Below are 22,240 nucleotides of genomic sequence, written 5' to 3' on the forward strand. Positions count from 1 at the left end.
TTGGAGCCATGTAGCCTTCTAAAGATCACTTGGTGATAATTCTGTTTAAGAAAAAATGACACATAATGCACACACACACACATAAAATTCATCTTTATCGTACATATGTATGCACTTTGATTTATTTTTTTCCCTTAATCCATATGATTGTTTTTTCCCCTTAATCCTGTGTCTTATGTGGTAGGATTATTCTGTTTGTACAGAGGTGCATGCTGAGGCTTAGAGAAGTTAAGCCATTTGCCCAGCATTGCTCAATTGTCTAGAGAAAGGGTAATTGAAGATTTTTGTTGCTGTTTTTTAACTTGAGTCTTTCCCAAATCCTGGATTTTTCTCACTACCTAGACTGTGCGGCTCAATGTCTGAGAGTAGAGTATGATTAATGCATTGTTCTCCTTGGGGCATGTTTCTTTCTAGCCTGCCTAGGTAGGAGATAAAATGCTGCTTACCCCTTAATCCCAGCTTTTCAGGAGGCTGAGGCAGGAGAATCGCTTAAACCCGGGAGGGGAAGGTTGCAGTGAGCCGAGAGGCCCCACCATTGCACTCCAGCATGGGCGACAAGAGCGAGACTCCATTTCAAAAAAAAAAATCATTCTTGTTGAGTCTCGTTCTTGTCACCCAGGCTGGAGTGCAATGGTGCGATCTCAGCTCACTGCAACCTCTGCCTTCCGGTTTCAAGCCATTCTCCTGCCTCAGCCTCCCAGGTAGCTGGGACTACAGGCATGTGCCACCACGCCCAGCTAATTTTTTGGGTATTTTTAATAGAGATGGGGTTTCACCATGGCTGGCCAGGCTGATCTCAAACTCCTGACCTCAAGTGGTCCGCTCGCCTCGGCCTCCCAAAGTGCTGGGATTATAGACATGAGCCACCAGGCCCGGCCAAAAAAAATGTAGATTCTTTATGTCTGGGCCAGGGCCCCAGAATATGCATTTCTGTGAAGTTCCCCAGGTGTTTCTGATCCCGGTTGTTTCCGGCCACACTTTGAGAGACTGTCCTCCAGAGCTGGGCGGCATGGAAATAATTACAAGCCAGCATGCTGAGACTACAACAGAGGAACGCCCAGGGACTGGGAGAGCAGAGCGTGGGGGCAGGTATCTGAATCAGGCTAGGAGAGGCTTTCCTGAGAAGCCGATATCTGATCTGACTCTTGAAGGATGAGGAGGAGAGTTTACCAGACATGTGAGTTGGGGAAAGAGCATTCCGGACAGATCAGGTTGGGAGAGTTGTTTTTGTTTTCTTCTGCAGATGACAAGGGAAGCTGTCATTCATCTCTTGAGTCTTGGCATTGAATTTGCCTGGGGCAAGATAAGGACCTTAGTTCACCAGGTATGGGTGTCTTTTATGGGTACCAAGAAGGAGGAAGACCTCAGGGCCCTTCTTTCTAATAATGAGCATGGCATGATTTCAGTGTCTGTAAAGGGCAGATAAACTGTAGGATTTATTAGTTCTTTCATGCAAGGGACAGTTAGACAGCTCATGGAAGCTACAGTGTTGACTAAAAAAAATGCTTTTTGTGCTTAGATGAGCCAGAGCTCAGAAGAAGATAGTCACCTGGTGAACTTTTTGGGTATGGCACTATATACCAAATTTTAGATATAACAAACAATTAGGCATGCTATCCCTTTATTATCTGACAAGATCAGAAAATAGGTTTTCTGGTTAAGAGAAATTCCATTATGTGTACCTAACAAAGGGATTACTAATTTTCGGAGAACAGTATTGCAACAGAATGTTCTTAGTCATGATTTGAACGAATTCTATTTCATGTTTATCCAGAAGATATTGATTGGGTAATGTCGAAGGTTTCTTAGGAGCAACACTCAGCATCTGAAAAGTCCTGTGCACCTGTTCTACCCAAAGCATGTTGTGGATACAAAGAGGTATAAACTCCATCCCTGCCCTCAAGGGGTTTACAGTCAGCTAGGGAAAGTAGAATAAGTGCACAGGTAATGAGGACATTCTGCAGGTGGTAGCAAATGACACTAGAAAAGAATAGAATGCCGCAGTTCAGAGGTGTGAAGAGGCAACCCTTCTGCAGGTGGCCCTTCCCACAGTCCAATCCAGTAGTATCAGTTGTTGCACTATAGGTGCTAGGTGTGTGGAAGGACCAGTGGGTGGTAAGTTCTAGTTGATGGAATGCAGGCTAGATCCATTAAGACACTAATTTTACATCTTGCACCTTGGAATATTGCCTTTCTCAGTGGGAAAGACCCATTGTCCTCCAAGTTGTCCACACCAGTGAGATGGGATGATCCCTGATACTGGAAATGAATAATACCCATCAAAGCCCTCTTAGGGTCCCTTTTCCAGGTTGGAATTTGTCATGGAAAGAGGCACAGGGGGCAACTCCTGGCCCAAGGGGCTGTTTGTATTTTTGAAAGGGTGAGCTGGTCCCTGGGCTGATGCCGAATGTGACAAGGCAACTAGAATGTTGCATGGTACTTACTCCCTGGGCATAGGAAGTGGCTTTAGAGTCTCACAAGGAGAGCAGTGGAAAGGCTGTGTGATAGCCAGCTAAAGCTGCAGGGTGGAGCCATGACTGTGGAGAGGGAAGGGGGGGAATTGCCGGCTTCCAATTTAACCCCTCAACTGCTGAATGTTAGCCAGCATTGACTTGGGGTATTTATTATTTCACCACAGCGGCCACCCATGAGGGAGGAGGTCTTATCTCCTTTTTGCTGTAAGGAAACTGAAACCCAGGGAGAAGTTATCTGTTCCAGAACCCAGGGCTAATGTGTGGCAGGAGGGGCCTGGAGTACAAGTCTTCTTGGTGTCTGTCTGCCCCTGCCCGTTGCTCTGGCTTGGTACCCATATCCACAGTCCACTGCAGGCCTCCTCCTCCCTGCCTGCTCTGTGCACAGCAGAGGACCGAATGTTGACTACCAGTTGCTGTTACCCTCGGGCCCAACCTCTTTCCACCAGGTTGAGGACAAATTAAGCAAGATCTTGCTTGGAAGGAAACTAGCTGTATATAGCAGCAAACACCAAGGTGACACTTGTTTGTGCTACCAAAAGTTGAAGCCAGAATCCTTATCTAAACTGATTTGTGAAAGTCTTGTGACAGCTCCACAGAACACCTCATTTCCCTACTGTCACCACAGGTGAGAAAGGTGGTGCTTACGCAAGCCCTTTCAGGTTAATTTTTTTTGGGGGGGGTGGGGGGAGGGATGGAGTCTCGCTCTTGCTCTGTCACCCAGACTGGAGTGCAGTGGCGCCATCTTGGCTTACTACAACTTCTGCCTCCCAGGTTCAAGGAATTCTCGTGCCTCAGCCTCCCAAGTAGCTGGTAGCACCTGCCACCATGCCCAGCTAATTTTTCTATTTTTAGGAAAGATGGAGTTTCACCATGTTGGCCAGGTTGGTCTGAAACTCCTGACCTCAGGTGATGCACCTGCCACGGCCTGTCAAAGTGCTGGGATTACAGGTGTGAGCAACTGTGCCTGGCCTCGGGTTAATTTTTGAACCCCCAACCATCTCTGTTGAAAGAAGCTGCTTTTTTTTTTTTTTTTTTTTTTTTGAGGAACGTGGCTTGTTTTTCATTGCATCTCTGTTATCAGAGCAAAGAGAAAGTGTACTGGACAGTAACTTAGTGGAAAAGAGGACTGTGCCTGCTGATTTTGAAACATTATCCAGGATGGAGCCAAAGAAAACAGTCACTTCCTCCAGTGATAGCCCATGAGTTTGACCCGCCCCCTCCCACCCCTTTTCCATGAAGAGGTAAATTTTAGTCCAGGAAAACAGAATACTTTGGGGCTATTTAAAAAAATGCTTTGAAATCCCTTCTTCTGCCCTAATTCCTTAGCACTAGTAAGATACTAGTTTCTTACCTCTTCCTCTCTAGGGCTTCTTGACTCTTATTTCTTGCTAATTTGTAGCAACAGTGGGTTGAAAGAGCCCTGAGAATGGACCTGCCTGAGCCATTTCTGTGCCCCTCTGTAGCCATTGTTTCTCTGGGCAGAGCTCACCTGAACTTGAACCCCAGACCTCACAAGAGGCTTCTATTGCTGGTTGCTGGAAATGGTGATAAAATCCTGTGAGGGGAGGGGCAGTGCAGGGAAGGAGACTTGGCTTTGGGAATGGCTGGAGTGTGACATACTGACTTCTTTTCCTGAAAGTGGCTGAGGGTTTGCCGGGACTGTGTTGCACATAAGACTTCGGTTTCCTCTGGCATTGCATCAAGGAGGCCAGAGTATTTATTATTGTTTGGTTTTCTTGCTTAACACACAAGACTTAAGGATCTCCCAACTGTGATGCACGGTCTCGATGTGGTTTCAAATACTGTCCAATTGATCTTGTGGTTTCCATCGAGGGTGTGAAATCCCTGGTTACCCACCAGGCAGGCAGTGGTTTGAATACCTGTGATCTCCCACCCCTCTGGGTGTGGTTCTGGAGTGCCGTGGGAGGTTAGGACAGGCTGGGGCGGACCGCCAGCACAAATAGAACATACAGTCATTCCTGCGTCTCTGTGTAAGGTTCCAGATTCATGGGCCAGGCTCGGCTTGTGCTGGGTTACTGTAAACCAGGATGAGAGAGCCACAGCCAGAGAGCCACGGTTCATTCTCGCACTGGTCATGTGAAAATCACACCCCCACAGCCTTGCCTTAGGCTTTGAAGGACCCCTTCATGCTGCTGCTTGTACCATGTAGCTAAGAGGCACGAGGGATGACCAGCTCCTATGGTTACTTGACTCAGCGGTCGCTAGGTTCAGGACTTTGTGAAGGGTTTTTGGCCAGGGTAGGTATGCTTGTGAGACTGACATCAGTCCTGCCCACGGGGAATTTAGAGCGGGGTGGTGGCAGGGAGTCTGTGAGGCACTCGGAGAACAAGACTGGCTAAAACACGGTTCTGTACAAAATATTGTGCTGCAGTTTGGCTAAAACAGGGGCTCTAAACTGGGACAGTTTTGCCCTTCCCCCATAGGGGATATTTGGCAGTGTCCAGACATGGTTAGCTGTCACAGCTAGGGGAGTAGGAAGTTGCTACTGGCATATCTAGTTAATAGAGGCCAGGGATGTTGCTAAACATCCTACAATGTACAGTTCAGTCCCGTATGACAAATAATTACCTGACTCCAAATGTCAGTAGGGCTAAGGTGGAGAAACCTTGGGGTAGAAACCACAGACTCATAGTAGTCCACTCTGCTTGGGAAGCAGGAGTCACAGGACTGAGGGAAGAAGTACCATATTGTTTTAATAAAGGGGAAATAGGTAGAGCTTTCCTGCTGCCTTCTAAGCAGTGTGTGTTCATTATCTGCCCAGAAATTTAGAATTTTCACATTGGTTGTTCCTTTAATCACTAGGTACTCTGTCTTATTAATGACAGGTACAGAGTCATTTTTTGTGGGCCAGTAGATATGACCAAGCCCATCTGAAATATGGATATGACCAAGTCCATCTGAAAAGTCGGATGGAACTGACGTTTCATCCCTTACTCAAATAACCGGGATTACTACCCCCCAGGAGGAGAGGATCTCAGTGGTACCCAAATGACTTTGTACATACAACTTAAAGAAAAAGCAGGCATAGTTATTTTAGCAGCAGCCCATATTTCAAGCCAGGTACCTATTGCTGTGGGTTGGGTTTATTGTAATCTATCATTAGTAACATACTAACACCCCCACTCCCCCAAGGTTTTCTACATCACTGAAGTCTATTTTAATCTTAAAGTCCAAGCTCTCAGAGTTCCAAAAGTTCTTGTTTCTTTTTTTTTTTTTTTTTTTTTTGAGACAGAGTCTTGCTCTGTCGCCCAGGCTGGAGTGCAGTGGCACAATCTTGGCTCACTGCAAGCTCTGCCTCCTGGGTTCACGCCTTTCTCCTGCCCCAGCCTCCCAAGTAGCTGGGACTACAGGCGCCCGCCACCACACCCGGCTAATTTTTTGTATTTTTAGTAGAGACGGGGTTTCACCGTGTTAGCCAGGATGGTCTCGACCTCCTGATCTCGTGATCTGCCCACCTTGGCCTCCCAAAGTGCTGGGATTACAGGCGTGAGCCACCGCGCCCGGCGAATTTTTTAAATTTTTAATAGAGATGAGGTCACGCTTTTTTGCCCAGGCTGGTCTCAAACTCCTGGGCTCAAGCAGTCCTCCCACTTCAGCCTCCCAAAGTGCTGGGATTGTAGGCCTGACCCACTGCACCCAGCCCACTTTTTTTTCTTTTTTTTTTTTTTTTAGGGCGGGGACAGAGTCTTGCTCTGTTACCTGGGCTGGAGTGCAATGGCACGATCTCAGGTCACTGCAACCTCCGCCTCCAGGTTCAAGTGATTCTTCCGCCTCAGCATCCCAGGTAGCTGGGATTACAGGCACCCGCCATCATGCCCGGCTAAATTTTGTATTTTGTAGAGACAGGGTTTCACCATGGTAGCCGGGCAGATCTTGAACTCCTGACCTCAGGTAATCTGCCCACCACAGCCTCCCAAAGTGCTGGGATTACAGGCGTGAGCCACTGCGCCAGGCACCAGCCCACTTTTTTTTTTTTTTTTTTGAGACAGAGTTTCGATCTTGTTGTCCACCCAGGCTGGAGTGCAGTAGTGCGATTTCGGCTCACTGCAAGCTCCACCTCCCAGGTTCATGCCATTCTCCTGCCTCAGCCTCCCGAGATGTTGGGACTACAGGCGCCTGCCACCACGCCCAGCTAATTTTTTGTATTTTTAGTAGGGATGGGGTTTCACCGTGTTAGCCAGGATGGTCTCGAACTCCTGATCTCATGATCCACCTAGCTCGGCCTCCCAAAGTGCTGGGATTACAGGCGTGAGCCACTGCGCCCAGCCTCAGCCCACTTTTTAAAAGTTGAAAAACAACGGTGCCATGTAGGCATAGAACTCATTAGTGGGTCCACTGGGGCTTAAGGGCCACTAGTGCAATCCCCACTTTTAAGAGGGGAGAGGCAGTGATACAACTGTGGGAAGAAAAGGACCTACTTCATGGCACCAACTGTGAGTGGATGACAGTAGGCTAAACTGCCCCTCTGCTCTGCCTGAGTGCCACCTGCTACTCACCTGCTCCGCTGCATGCTACCTGCTATTTCAGCCCTCAGCTCTCTGCACCAGCCCTTGCTAAAGAAGCCATGCTTCTCAATGGACTTACTCTGTAGCAGAAGAGGCCAGTGATGAGGAATTCCTGGGGACTGCTTTTCCTTCTAAGTGTCCAGGGGTGAAAGAGTGGTCCATGAACCAGGGTCCAGTGCCTCTGTAGCCTGCCAGACTCCACAGGCCTGCATGCCCTGGGACATTGACAAGTAGACCTTAATAAAACCATGGGATATGTTGCAACTTCCGATTTTTGCTGTGGGATTTTCCTACCAGGGTCAAGTAGCTTTTTCTGAATTTGTTATTCAGGTTCCTAATAGCAACACAGGAAATGGATTTTAATTTTTTTGCTGGCTGCTCTGTTTGGGGGCTGTTTAATGAGGATGTAGTTGCAGTGCAGCTTTGGCAGTAACAGTACTGGTGTGGATGGGAGCGTAGCTAACATGTCACTTCTTTTTAAAATTTATGTGTATGATCTATTATATGTTTTAATGGAATGAGGCATAGAGAGTATAAATAATGTGCCTTGATTCTATGTAGGTACTCTTGTGGGTAACTGTGTTGGGACACGTTTGGGATTCTAGAAAACGAATATGAGTCTATTTCATGTTTAGAGAGCAGGAACTGTTTATTGTATGTTCTTTTTAGATCCAGGGCAGTGGTTCTCAAGCTTGAATATACATAAACATAACCAGGGGAGCATGTTTTAAAAGGCGGATTTTCAGTCCCTGCCCCTAGAGGGTCTCAGTCTATCTACATTCTTGACAAATATTTCAGATGATCTGGGGCCCATGGACCACACTTTTGGGAAACACATCCCTATTTTGTTGCATTTGTTGTCTAAGCATGTTCATTGTTATGTGGGGGCAAATTCACTTATTTATAAGATGCCCTTATTGTCCTGATTCACTGTGTTGCCCTTCCTCAGATTCTTGACTAGTGTTAGTCTTTGGGAGGGACCAGACCAGATTGTTCCAGGATGCCCTGTGGGTTGAAGTCAGTGGACCTCTATTGTCCCCACTACTACCCCTGGGACTCCCCTTTGGGGACCATGACACTGTGGGCTCATCTTGAAGCAGCAGCCATCTCTTTTGATCCTAGGCTTTTCTTACATTGGTCACAAGCTCCAGTCTTTGGCTTTACTCTTTAGGGTACTCTATAGCTAAAGCATGGGGGACTGGGTCCTCTTAAGCCCAGGGAGCTGGAGTCCAGAGCCCTTAAGGAGTAAACCACACTATCAGATCTGAGGGATGAGGCTGAACCTTATCAGAAGATTTACTGGCTTGGTTAGGGGAACCTACCCATGTAGCCCAGGCTATTTGTTCTTTTGGAAAACTACTGAATTCAGCCAAACAGCATAAAAATCCATTCCTAGTGTCCCATTGCATGCAAGACAAAGTCTTGGTTAACTTCTTAGCAGTGGCTTGCCCTTTATGGGGAAGGATGGAATTGAGTAAGCTCTTTTAGCCAAAGCTTATGGAATAATTGTCAGGTGTGGTATATACTAGAAAGGATACGAAAGTAGTACATGACAACCCCACCATCAAAGAAAGGGAGATTAGACTGGGCACAGTGGCTCCCGACTGAAATCCCAGCACTGTTGGAGGCTGAGGCAGGAGAATCACTTGAGCCCAGAGTTTGAGACCAGCCTGAGCAACGTAGTGAGATCCTGTCTCTACAACCAATAAAAAAAATTAGCTGGGTGTGGTGGCGTATGCCTGTGGTCCTAGCTAATTGGGAGGCTGAGGTGGGAGGATTGCTTGAGCCTGGGAAGTTGAGGCTGCAGTGAGCTATGATCGTGCCACTACACTCTAGCCTTGGTGACAGAGTGAGACCCTGTTTCCAGAGGGGGAAAAAAAAGAGAGGGGAGACTAGACTAACACATGGGAAGCAATAGGCCAGGACTCCTGCTGCATCATCCCCCTTCTTGAGCTTACTTTCTTCATCCTCAGCCCTTCTGTACTCTCCTTCTACCCAATTTGAAAATGTGTGCCCTTGAACAGTTCTCTTTATTTCCCTCAGGTCTTTGAACAGTCTAAAAAACCAATAGTGGTCAGGCACGGTGGCTCACGCCTGTAATCCCAGCACTTTGGGAGGCCGAGGTGGGCGGATCACCTGAGGTCAGGCGTGCGAGACCAGCCTGGCCAATATGGTGAAACCCTGTCTCTATTAATAATACAAAAAATTAGCTGGGCGTGGTGGTGCACGCCTGATGTCCCAGCTACTCGGGAGGCTGAGGCAGGAGAATCACTGGAACCTGGGAGGTGGTGGTTGCAGTGAGCCGAGATCGTGCCACTGTACTCTAGCCTGAGTGACAGAGACCCTGCCTCAGGAAAAAAAAAACAAAACCAATACTATCAGGGAGAACGTGATCTTAACTTTCTTTCTTTCTTTTTTTTTTTTTGAGACAGTCTCACTCTGTCACCCAGGCTGGAGTGCAGTGGTGCGATCTCGGCTCACTGCAACCTCTGCCTCCTGGGTTCATGCCATTCTCCTGCCTCAGCCTCCCGAGTAGCTACCACGCCCGGCTAATTTTTTGCATTTTTTAGTAGAGACGGGGTTTCACAGTGTTAGCCAGGATGGTCTTGATCTCCTGATCTCATGATCCGCCTGTTTCGGCCTCCCAAAGTGCTGGGATTACAGGCATGAGCCACCACACCTGGCTGATCTTAACTTTCTAATTGTAAAAATATAGGTAAAAATATAGGTGAATACATGAAGCTTTGCCTCCTTACCACCTACAAATATGTTTCTAAGGACCTGGGCTTGAAAGTGCTGCATTTTCAGAACTTGAAGATTCTATCTAGGATAGAACAAAAATAGCTGATTCTAAGTTAAAGTTGTTTGCTGTCTTATTTAGCCATTTCAAATGTCTGCTTTATGAAAACTGCGTTATCCTTTAGCTACAGAGCATTACCAAAATCATTTAGAACTTTTTCCTAGTAGATATGCAGTGCTAGACTTTGGTCTCCTTTCTAGAAAGCCATTCCTGGTTCAAGAATGGAAGGAAAGTTTGTTTTGTTGCTTACTCTGCAAGAGCAGCCACAACCTGGCTGGGGGGGATAAATAAAGGCTCAAGGTAAAGAATAAGTATGAGAGTTGCAAAAATATTTATATATTTATTCAAGTCTCCACCATAACCTAAGGGAGGGACTAGCCAAAGCCAACAATGAATTCATAAACTGTGGTACTTTGGAGATTATTTTATTTTATTTTATTATTTATTTTTTACTGAGACGGAGTCTTGCTCTGTTGCTCAGGCTGGAGTGCAGTGGCACAATCTCGGTTTGCTGCAACCTCCACCGCCTGGGTTCAAGTGATTCTTGTGCCTCAGCCTCCTGAGTAGCTGGGACTACAGGTGCGCACAACCACGCATGGCTAATTTTTTAAATATTTTTAATAGCGATGGGTTTTCGCCATGTTGGCCAGGCTGGTCTCGAATTCGTAACCTCAGGTGATCCACCTGCCTCAGCCTCCCAAAGTGCTGGGATTACAGGCATGAGCCACTGCACCCAGCCTGGAGATTATTTTAATTGTTATACAAAGCCTATGAGATCTGACCTCAGCTGAATTCTTAGCTCCCCTTTCACACTGCTTTCCCTGAGATCACTGTACTCAGCTACACTAGTCTTCTTTCTCTTCCTTGAGCACACCAAGCTTGTTTCTGCCCTGGTGTTTTTGCGTGGATTTGATATTTCTTCTTCCTGGAACACTGTTCTCACCGGTCTGGTTAAGCTGGCTCTTTTTCAGCAGTCAGGGCTCTACTCAGATGTCACCTACTCAGAGTGGCCTTTCCTGACCACCCTATCTAAAACTCTTTGTCTCATTATCGTGTTTTATTATCCTCATGGAGCTTATTACTGCTAGTGAAATTATAATTTTGCTTGTTAATTGTCCGTCTTCCCAACTGGAACATATTTAAAAATCTTTTTGCCTTTGTCACTCTGCAGTTTCATACAGTGTACCTAGGTGTGGGCTTCTTATTATCTGGAAATTTTGTATCTTTTTTTTTTTTTTTTTGACAGTCTCACTCTGTCACCCAGGCTGGAGTGCAGTGGCATGATCTCGGCTCACTGCAACCCCCGCCTCTCAGGTTCAAGCGATTTTCCTGCCTCAGCCTCCCGAGTAGCTGGGACTACAGGCGCCCGCCACCACGCCCAGCTAATTGTATTTTTAGTAGAGATGGGGTTTCACAGTGTTAGCCAGGATGGTCTCGATCTCCTGACCTCATGATCTGCCCAACTTGGCCTCCCAAAGTGCTGGGATTATAGGCATGAGCCACCACGCCCGGCCGAAATTTTGTATCTTTAATCAGTCTTATATAGAAAATTTTTAGTTATCCCTTTAAATATTTCCTCTCCTCCATTCTTTTCTTCTCAAGCTTCTTTCTCATTTTTCATTTCCATGTTTTCTCTTGTAGAAGCACTTTGATGGTAATTTTCTCAGATCTGTTCTCTAGTTCATCAATTTCCTCTTTAACTTGGTCTCCTCTCTGTGTGACCCATCTGTTGAGTTTTTTCTTTCAATAACTATTTTTCTACAAGTTTTATCTGCCTGTTACTATTTCTTGTTTGGTAGTGTTCTTTTCTTGTGTTTTTAATTCTTTCTTTTTGGCTTTAATCATTTGAGATATGCTTGTATCTTATAGGGACTTTTTTTCAGGGGGTCTTATCCTGCTATTTGTTGAATTTGTCATCTTGTTTGTAATGGATTAGTTTTGCATACATTTTTATATTTTGGATTGTGAGCTTATCTTCAACAGAACTTTATTTTTATTTTTATTTTTGAGACAGTCTCTCACTGTCGCCCAGGCTGGAGTACAATGGTGCAATCTCGGCTCACTGCAACCTCTGCCTCCCGGGTTCAAGCAATTCTCCTGCCTCAGCGTCCGGAGTAGCTGGGATTACAGGCGCCCGCCACCACGCCCAGCTAATTTTTTTGTATTTTTATTAGAGACAGGATTTCACTATGTTGGCCAGGCTGGTCTCGAATTCCTGACCTCGTCATCCGCCCGCCTCAGCCTCCCAAAGTCCTGGAATTACAAGCGTGAGCCACCGCGCCTGGCCAACAGAACTTTATGTGTAGGAATCCTTTGTGCCGTGGCTGAGGGTAGATCTGTTCAGTTTTGTATTTCTGCCAGATGTTGCAGGTTTATTGCCAGCCTGGGACTACTTTTTGTGTTAAATTTTTGGCTTGGGGATCCTCAGACCATGTAGTAGTACAATTCAAATCTGAAATAATCTGTGATCACACATTATTAGAGGAGATACTGTTTTCCTCCCACTTCAGAGTTTTTATTGTCACTATGTGCCAGTGGGCTAATGTTTTTTCTAATCTGTTCTCCCCCTCTGAGGGCGCCAGCTTTGTACTGGTTCTCAGTTCCAATTCCCTGTTTCAGGTGGGCCCAAGATCAACAAACTACCCCACTTTCTAGGTCAACTGGAAAGGCCTGATCTCATTTACTACTGTGGTTTCTAGTTCCCGCTGTCGTTTTTGGTCCCAGGTGATCCTCCTTGCTTTCTTGCAAGTTCAGCTTTGTAATTAAAAGTGATTGTTGTATAGCCAGGGTTTTATAGCAGAATAATTTTTAGTTACCTACCCAGCTATATTGCCAGAAGCGGAAACTCTCCCCTCCCACCCCCCGAATCTCTTGCTTATTGCTATAGCTATAGCATCCCACATAGTGCCTGGCACATGGTTGGGGGAAGGGGGTCAATACATATGTGTTAAATGATTTGGAGAACTGAACATTTCCATTAGGAATTAGTTCTTGGCCAGGCACGGTGGCTCACACCTGTAATCCCAGCACTTTGGGAGGCCGAGGTGGGAGGATCCCTTGAGCCCAGGAGTTCAAGACCAGCCTGGGCAACATGAGGAGACCCTGTCTCTATTTAAACAAACAAAAAAAGATTTAGTTCTTCCTGCAGGGAAAGCCAGAGGTGATGCTCCAAATTAATTCATATCCAGCAGCCAAGATATTTGGTGTCCTGTGCTTTAGCATCCCAGGAAGGACTTCAATTCTTATTTTTCACTCTTAAACTTTAAAGTGTTTTCCTAAGGACATGACGCTGTTGCCATTAGCCAGTTGCTAGCAGAGTTTTCCAGACCCATAAATTGGCAGATTAAAACCATGCCTGGGGAAACATTACTGCCCAGTGTGTCTTTTTATGCTGGCACTTAGAAAGTTTTTACGCTGATTAAATTGACCTTTACAGTGGCTCAGCTAAGAATAGCAACTGTAAGATGTGGAAACTGTTGAGGAAAATGTTGTTAGTCCCACAGTTTATACTGCCACCAAAGAGAGGAGATAATTTTTTGCATATGTGCAAAAGGCATACTGTTTATCCTTTCCAGTGTAAAAATGTTTTTTCCAGTTTGGTGTTGGTCTTGCTTGTCTCTTCTTTATGCCTTTGTTTTCTGTTTGGTAACCATGTGTGCCTTGTCTCTCAGAGCTGGTCACTGTGGCACCGGGGCTGAAGGCACATACCTGTAATAGATGGGGCTCCTAGTAGCCACTACCACGGTCATTCCCGAGGTGAAAGGCCTCGCGTAAGCGCATTCATTATGCACCAAAGTTCCTTTTTGACAAGTTGTACATTTCTAGCTTTCTGGGGTTTTGTTTTAGCCATGGAGTTTTGTGCAAATGAAAACATTGCCAGGAAGATGATATCTTTAAAATGCAAGTATGATCTTGTTACCTCCCTGTACAGAGTGGTCCCCACCTACCTAACTTTCCTATCTACTACTTCTACCATCTCCTTCTAGCCAAAAGGGCTTTGCTTGTAGCGTTTTCTCTGCCTGCGATGTTCTTCCCTGTCCTCTTCCTAGTTACTTTTTTTTTTCTTTTCTTTTTTTTTTTTTTTTTTTGAGACAGTGTTTCGCTCTTGTTGCCCAGGCTGGCGTGCAATGGTGCGATCTCAGCTCACCACAGCCTCCACCTCCCGGGTTCAAGCGATTCTTCTGCCTCAGGCTCCCAAGTAGCTGGGATTACAGGCATGTGCCACCACACCTGGCTAATTTTTGTATCTTTAGTAGAGACGGGGTTTCTCCATGCTGGTCAGGCTGGTTTCAAACTCCTGACCTCAAGTGATCTGCCTGCCTTGGCCTCCCAAATTGCTGGAATTACAGACGTGAGCCACCGCGCCGCCTAGTTACTGACTTTTTAACCGTACTGTCAATCTCAGTTCAAGCTTACCTTCCTCCCAGAAGCTGTTCTGGACCTTCTTGACCAGTTCCTGGGTCTTTTACTCACTGTCACCTAATCTGCACTTTTCCTTCCCAACATTTATTGTAGTCGCAGTTTTATCTGCGTAAGTATTTTACCATCTTTCATTAGACTGTAAGTTCCGTGAGGATGGCCTAAACAATATAATAATGTGTAATGTGCTTTGAAGATGCTTGGAAGAAAAGCATAAGCTAGGTGTGGTGGCTCATGCCTGTAACCCCAGCACTTTGGGAGGCCAAGATGGGACGATTGCTTAAGGCCAGGAGTTTGAGATCTGCCTGAGCAACATAGTGAGACCCTGCCTCTACCAAAAAAGTAAAAATAAAAAAGCCAGATATGGTGGCACATGCCTGTAGTCCTAGCTACTCGGGAGGCTGAGGCAGAAGGATCACGTGAGCCCAGGAGTTTGAGGCTGTAGTGAGCTACAGTCGTGCCACTGTACTCCAGCCTGGACAACAGAGCAAGACCTTGTCTCCAATAAATACGTAAATAGTAAAAGCATAGGATAATCATAAAGGGTGCTGATAATTTTTCATATTTGACCTTTCCATTGCATTCTTTCCAGTTCCTTTTTCTTTTCTTCTTCATGTGTCTGGAGCAGCCCACATTGCCACAGAGAACTTGGCTGTTCTGAAACAATTCTGAGTGAAGGCAAAGTGCTTTTTGGATGGTCTTTCATGCTCAGCAATAGTGGCTCACAGAATAATGTTGATAGTAGGAGCCCAGAGAATTTAATTAGCCCAAGGTCACACAGTTAATAGCCCTACTGTAAAAGCTGGGCTTTGAACCCAGATCCAGCTCACTCTTTTTTTTTTTTGAGACAGGGTCTGGCTCTGTCACCCAGGCTAGCGTGCAGTGGTGCAATCATGGCTTGCTGCAGCCTCAACCTTCTGGGCTCAAGCAGTCCTCCCACCTCAGCCTCCCAAGTAGCTGGGACTACAGGTGTGCAACATCACACCCAGCTAATTGTATTATTATTTTTTTGGTTGAGATGGGGTTTTGCCATGTCCAGGCTGGTCTCAAACTCCTGGGCTCCAGTAATCTGCCCACCTTGGCCTCCCAAAGTGCTGAAATTATAGGCGTGACCCACCACACCTGGCCCCAGCGAACTCTTAACTACTTAGGCTTTGTGTAGATCTTAAGCCACCGGGAGGTGTTTGAGTCCTAGGTGTGCAACAATTAGGCTCCTCATATAAGGAGGGGTGGAAGATCACCAGGCAGCATTTCCACACCACTGTTCTTTGCTGTGGATTTGCATGAGAGGAGACATAGATTTCATGATATCTTGCATTGGCTTGAGGCTGCTATGTCAGGGTGGAAAGGGGATGGGGAGGATAATAAAACCTTAAAGTTGAAGGAGACGGCTGGGCGTGGTGGCTCACGCCTGTAATCCCAGCTACTCGGGAGGCTGAGGCAGGAGAATCATTTGAACCCGGGAGGTGGAGGTTGCAGTGAGTCAAAATCACGCCACTGCATACCAGCTTGGGCAACAGAGTGAGACTCCATCCTCCCCACCCCCACAAAAGAAAATTTAAGGAGACATTACAGGTGATCTTAACCAGACCTAGGGCCATTGAGTAACTTGCCTAAAGTTCATTTCTGTGTAGTGATAGAGCTGGGATCTACAAAAATTAGCCGGGTGTGGTGGCGTGCACCTGTAGTCCCAGCTACTCAGGAGGCTGAGGCAGGAGGATCAGTTGAGCCTGGAGGTCGAGGCTGCAGTTAGCTGTGATCAGGCCACTCTACTCCAGCCTGGGCAACAGTTAGACTCTGAGTGAAAAAGAAAAAAGTAGGGGGGTGCGAGGAGAGCTGGGGCCAAACCCAAGGCTCCTGGGTTTTCCATACCACTATTGACTGACACCAGCATGTCTCTCTGAAGGAACTCACTTTGGCACTCATATCTCACTATCTCCTGAATCCTCCTTCACCTCTTCCTTGCTAGAGGTACACCTTCTTTCGTACCGCTGCAGCAGAAAATGACAGTTCCCATAACCAAGACTATCCCAGGCAGCTCAGGGACTCTGTATTTAGAGGAGGGAGAAGGACCACAGGGGACTAGATATATAGATGGCCACAACTTGTGATGGTTCAACTTAGTGATTTTTCAACTTTATGGTGGTGCAATTGATACATGCAGCCAGTAGAAATCATTTGTTTTTCATTTTTAATACAGTATTAAGTAGATGACATGAGATATTCAATACTTTATTGTAAAATAATTTGTGTTAGAGGATTTTACCAAACCATAGGCTGATGTAAGTTCCGAGCAGTTTAAGGTAAGCTAGGCTAAGCTATGCTGTTCAGTAGATTAACTGTGTTAAATGCATTTTTGACTGACGATATTTTCAATTTATGATGGGTTTACCAGAACATGACCCCATCGTAAGCCGAGAAACTTCCGTACTGTGTTAAAAACTGTTTGAGGAACACTGGATTAAATGATGCTTCCACTGTTCTGCTCTCCCTGGGAAAGCGGAGGCAGAACGGTGAAGCAGAGTGAGGTCTTGTTTATTCCAGGCCCCCTGCCTCGGTGCACAGAAGATCCGAGAGAAAAGCTGACTGACAGCAGTAGGTCATGAGGATGCCACTTGTTTAGATTTCAAATGCATTCCACTCTATGTCTCACTTAAGACCAGTTGACAGCCATGTGTTCCGAGCCTGGGCTGCCTCTGGTGAATTTTCCTGAGACAGAAGTGTCATTGGATTCTTTCTTGTGCCAAGTGTAGGCACCACTGCCTCTTTTAGAAACTATGTGGACACTTTGAACTGTGCTCTTTTAAGCCAGTGCCGGAAGAATGGCATTCGCAGGGCCTGGTAAACTGGGGAGAAACTTTCTGATGTTTTTATGAAAGGCATGTTTTGCTCTGAAGTCAAAGAGTGTGTGTTCTGGCCAAAGTAGCAAGCATAGATCTGCTTTTTCCACACGCACCAGGCTTCAGAGGAGAAGTTGACTAGATAGCCAGTGTCTCATTTTGTTTGTGGTGGGCATGGGATGGTGAAAACGGAAGGAGGAAGAAGTACAGGGGACAAGATATTTAGATGGTCCACAACTTGCGATGGTTCAACTTAATGGTTTTTCAGCTATGATGGTGTGAATGGCATACATGGCCAGTAGAAATCATTCTGTTTTTCACTTTTAGTACAGGATTAAGTAGATGGTATGAGAAATCCAACTTGATAGCCAGTGTCTCATTTTGCTTATGGTGGACATGGGAGGGTGGTGGTGGGGCGGCGGGGGAAGGAGCACATAGAAGGAACTCTGCGTGCAATGTTGTGAGGGCCTCATTGTCAGGGTTTATGAATTTCTCGTTTCCTTCTTTCTAAACTGTCATATCAGAATGTAAAGTTTTTAAGACCAAGAAACACCTAAAGATTTATGGTGGAAACGTGCACTAAGCCGGGGAACTGGTTTTCAGTCCTGTGCTTTCTCTTGTCCTCTCCGTGTGGCTTCAGGTGCCAGTCCTGTTTCTGCCCAGCCTCTAGCCCTGTAGACAGTCACTGGAGTGCCTGGTGTATACCCTTGGCCAAGTAGACAGTGTAGTAAAGCATGGCCCAGAGAGGAGGAGCCGACCATGTGACTTCAGTTTCCACTGGCAGCTGTCCGCCGGATGTGCACTGTGGGCAGGGCCAGCCTGAGTTGCCGCAAATACTGTGGCTTTAGTTTATTTGCTGAGCAGGGCTTTTTTCCTTCTTAACTCTGAGCTTCTTGGGGATAAGGACAATGTCTTATTCATCTTTGTATCCCTTGAACCCAACACAATGCTTGGCACAAAGACAGCGTCCAGTAAGTGACTGTGTTATTGTTTAGAATGAAGAAATGTTGAAGGCCACATATAGCAGATGCCTTACAGGTTTCGTCATCTGCATAGTGGCCCCAAGTACATTTTGGGCTGAGGTTAACGTTGGTCTGGGAGGTATTTTATATCTTACATGTGAAACTTTTTTTTAAAGTTCCCCTCCATCCTCATCCACCAGTGCTGTGGACAGAATTTGGCAGACAGCTAGATGGCCACTCAGTAGTGCCCTTTATGTGAGTGTCCCTGACAAGGGACAGTATGAATCCTGGATCCAGTCAGGATTCTTTTTCAATAAGCAAAAATGATCTAGCAGATTGAAATTAGACTGGGTTATCTGAGCAGTTCGGCCCTTTATTGAAAAGTAAAGAATTTCAGTTGTAGATTTTTTTTGTTGTTGCCCTCTTTAGGATCACACTGTGAATTAACCTTGGAGAGAAAGTGTTTTAAAAAGAAGAATGGAATAACTGAGCAGATGCTAATCCTAGAATACATACCGCTTTAATTATTCCAGGAAGTTTCACAGAAAAGCCAGTTTTATTTAAAATGTACTGCTAATTACCAGGGAATCATCACCCTCCTACCGGCTGAGGTTAGCACCGGAACATGAAATGTTTCTACTTGGACCTAAAGTGAGGCAGCCCTTGCCTGTCCTGTCTGAGGAAAACTTCACTCTGCCAATTGCTTTTGTGTCCTGAATCTCCTCTCCTCTTTAATAAACCATATTTTTTCCCCTAAACTCTGTTGTTGTTGTGTAAATCTTTTAAAGTTTTTTTTGTTTGTTTGTCTTTTTTATTTTTTATTTTTGAGATGGAGTCTCGCTCTGTCGCCCAGGCTGGAGTGCAGTGGCGTGATCTTGGCTCACTGCAATCTCTGCCTCTCTTGTTCAAGCGATTTTCCTGCCTCAACCTCCTGAGTAGCTGGGATTACAGGCGCGCACCACCACGCCTGGCTAATTTTTATATTTTTAGTAGAGACGGGATTTCATCATGTTGGTCAGGCTGGTCTCGAACTCCTGACCTCGCGATCTGCCTGCCTCGGCCTCCCAAAGTGCTGGCAATACAGGTGTGAGCCACCGCGCCTGGCCAAAGTTGATTTTCTTAATGGAATAAACATTGATACAAACTGTTTTGGGGGCTGGTGAATAGACAACCAGGAGGACAATGATGAGAAGGAAAGTGTTCAAAAGCTGTCATTTAATATGCTAACATGCTTTTTTAATTTTTTAGGATAAGGAAGCCTGTGTGGGTACCAACAATCAAAGCTACATCTGTGACACAGGACACTGCTGTGGACAGTCTCAGTGCTGCAACTACTACTATGAACTCTGGTGTAAGTCCTTGCTTGGGTGCCTCTCAGTATCCCAGGGTCCCAGTTACTGCCTCTGCTTAGTGGGAAACTCTGGGCATTAGCCCTTTTCGGATTCTCTTGGGGACAGTGTTGGTGAGTGGAATCTGTTTATGGGTTCCAGAAGTGCTTCCTTTGTAGAGGAAGAGAGTTCTGGTGCTCTTTGGACTTTGTTAGCTGAAGACTAGAGAATATGGTCTTAGCCAGGTCTGCTGCAGAAGCTCTTGCCTGAGGTTCTCCTGGCTGCCCTCTCCATTGTGTGCTGAGCAGCTGACAACAACTTAGATGCTTCCTTGGGCCCTCCCAGAAGCCCAGGTTTGCCTTTCTTTTTTTTTTTGACGGAGTCTCGCTCTGTCACCAGGCTGGAGTGCAGGCGCAACCTCAGCTCATTGCAGCCTCTGCCTCCCGAGTTCAACTGATTCTCCTCCCTCAGCCTCCTGAGTAGCTGGTACTACAGGTGTGCACCACCATGCCCAACTAATTTTTGTATTTTTAGGAGAGATGGGGTTTCACCGTATTGGCCAAGATGGTCTCGATCTGTTGACCTCGTGATCTGCCCGCCTTGGCTTCCCAAAGTGCTGGGATTAGAGGCGTGAGCCACCACACCTGGCTGGCTTGCTGTTTTTGCAGAGAGAGGTTGCAAGCCAAGCTACTATGAATGCCAGGCCACTCTAGATGGTCACTATGCCATTTTCTTGTAAGGACCACAGGGGCTTCCAGAATTTCCCATAGAACCTCATGGAGTGCCTCTGTTTCTGAGGGTCCTTCGGAAAGGAACAGTCTTTCCCTAGGTCCTTGCCTATAGAGGACCTTCTGGAGAAAGGGAGTCTTGAGGCTCAGCTCCTTTTATTTCTTACCCAGTTCTCACATGGAAGTTCCTGGAGGATTCTCCAGTGTACCTAACCTTTTACTGTCAGCTAAATCCCATGTGGAGGCTGGGCACAGTAGCTCACGCTTATAATCCCAGCACCCTGGGAGGCCAAGGCATGTGGATCACTTGAGCCCAAGAGTTCAATACCAGCCTGGCTAACATGGTGAAACCCCCTCTCTACTAAAAATACAAAAATTATCTGGGCATGGTGGTGTGTGCCTGCAGTCCCAGCTACTCAGGAGGCTGAGGCAGGAGAATCACTTGAACCCGGGAGGCGGAGGTTGCAGTGAGCCGAGGTTGCGCCACTGCACTCCAGCCTGGGCAACAGAGCGAGGCTCCATCTAAAAAAAAAAAAAGAAAAATGCCATGTGGAAACCATCTTTGTCTTGCCACTGGTTTGACTGAAGCCAGAACCACTTGCTTCTTCAAGTTGCACGACAGTGGTGATGGTGTTAGGGTCTTCAGGGAGTGACCCAAGGTTGCTTCAACTGACACTCTTTGTACTCTGACCTTCCTGGAACTCAGACGAGACAGTGTAGGATGCTGGACAAAGAATGAGAGGGTGTTGGGGGGGTGGTGCTTAGGACAGCGAGGCCCCAGGTGACTGACATTGCCGTAGTTCTTACAATTGTCTCTTGAGAAAGGAGACTGCAGGCGGTTTCCCCAGATGATTCTAAGCCCTCATCACTGCCTCCATTTGGAAACAGACTTCGGGTTTGTCAAACCATGACCTTGCCCCCACCATCCTATCTGCGCCTTTCCCCTTTCTCATCCCCCCCATCAACCCCTGTGTCAGTGATATGGCAAGAAAGCAGCCAGAAGGACTATTGTTTGGTCCAGAAAGGAAATTAGACTCTTGGCTGGGAGGTCTGTCCATCTGAAATGCAGTTGTATTTGTAGCCAACAGGAGTGGTTCCTCCAAACAAGACCTCTCCCTCACCCTCGCTTTTCCCTTTTGAGGACTGAGGACGGGCTCATCTGCCTTTCTGAGGAATTCCAGGAGCAGTCCAGTGCAGGAGAGCACAAGGCTCAAGATGTCCCCACCAGACCTGCAGATATATAAGCAGCAGTGAAGGAGGGCACAGTCATTGTTGCTATTTTAGAAGGGGTGGGGCTGAGAAACTTACTAGAGGACACACAGTGCCAAGCAGGTAGACAGACTCTGTTTAAATGTTTTAAAATGCAGATAACCACAGGGTTCAAATTCTCCTTCCCACCCTTTGTTAAAACAAAAGTTGAAGCTGGGCTGCCAAAAAGCCACAGAGCTGTAGTTTGTTTTTCTGGGTCCTGGCCAGGCGGCATCAGTTGTGAAAAGGAACGAAGTTGCTCATGGCCCCGTCTCAGATTGACAGAGCCTCCTGGGCTTTTGGCAGAGCCGACTCAGGAGCCACCTGAATTGGGTCACCAAAGCCAGGGCAGGGGGGTGGAGTGGTGGGGACAGGGAGACCCAGAGGGCAAGGAGGTAGTCTGGGAAAGCAGGTGCCTCACCCCAAGGGCTTAAAGAAAGTCAGAGAAAGAGCTGCATGAACGGCTAAGTGTCTCTCTAGCTACGGGCGTTTAGGAAAGGAGGCCCAGCAGAGAGCAGTGTCTAGACGGAGAGAAAAGGTGCCCCGTTAAATGAGCTGGCATGTGTTTTCCACGTTCTGGAGGCATGGGAGACATAAAAGCAAAACGCCCTTCTCAGGAAGTCCTCCGATCTCCCTCTTTATTGAGGTCATGGCTTCTGCCTGGTGTGTATGGGAGGGAGGTTGATGTTGGAACAAACACCTGAAGTTCTCATCAAAATGGCACTTTTTGTTGCTTTCAACCCTGTTCCCTCTAACTGCCTCTCAACTTTGCCTGAAGTGTGAAAGTCACGGGCTTTGGGCTGATTTCCTTCCCACCTTCCTTTGGAAAGAAAATTCCTCAGCCAGGAAATCCTTTGGCAGAGTTTTCATCAGACAGGGCAACTCCTTAACTATAGTTGCCTACAGGAAAGGCCT

At 46.6% G+C, this 22,240-nt stretch overlaps 1 protein-coding gene across 3 annotated transcripts in view, besides 3 other annotated features; it reads left to right on the forward strand.

Annotated features, from left to right (window-relative positions):
* Positions 1 to 22,240, forward strand: part of WBP1L (WW domain binding protein 1 like) — a 72,315-nt gene that overhangs the window by 34,776 nt on the left and 15,299 nt on the right. For 2 of the 3 annotated variants that reach the window (NM_001083913.2, NM_017787.5), the window contains exon 2: positions 19,270 to 19,372. In NM_001083913.2, the coding sequence (NP_001077382.1) occupies positions 19,270 to 19,372 (103 nt within the window). Of the gene's footprint in view, positions 1 to 17,933; positions 18,031 to 19,269; positions 19,373 to 22,240 lie in introns of those variants that run through there. The other variant, XM_011539913.3, reaches the window with a different exon arrangement.
* Positions 2,228 to 2,728: an enhancer, noted in NCBI's record as "H3K27ac hESC enhancer chr10:104540708-104541208 (GRCh37/hg19 assembly coordinates)". NCBI's record gives its function as "activates a minimal SCP1, AML or CMV promoter by ChIP-STARR-seq in primed H9 embryonic stem cells {active_cell/tissue: H9 hESC(primed)}" and the evidence as "EXISTENCE:reporter gene assay evidence [ECO:0000049][PMID:30033119]".
* Positions 2,729 to 3,229: an enhancer, noted in NCBI's record as "H3K27ac hESC enhancer chr10:104541209-104541709 (GRCh37/hg19 assembly coordinates)". NCBI's record gives its function as "activates a minimal SCP1, AML or CMV promoter by ChIP-STARR-seq in primed H9 embryonic stem cells {active_cell/tissue: H9 hESC(primed)}" and the evidence as "EXISTENCE:reporter gene assay evidence [ECO:0000049][PMID:30033119]".
* Positions 17,587 to 17,636: an enhancer, noted in NCBI's record as "active region_3950". NCBI's record gives its function as "activates an Ori minimal core promoter by ATAC-STARR-seq in GM12878 lymphoblastoid cells {active_cell/tissue: GM12878}" and the evidence as "EXISTENCE:reporter gene assay evidence [ECO:0000049][PMID:35858748]".

The sequence above is a fragment of the Homo sapiens genome, chromosome 10 (genome assembly GCF_000001405.40).
Source record: "Homo sapiens chromosome 10, GRCh38.p14 Primary Assembly".
NCBI lineage: Eukaryota > Metazoa > Chordata > Mammalia > Primates > Hominidae > Homo > Homo sapiens.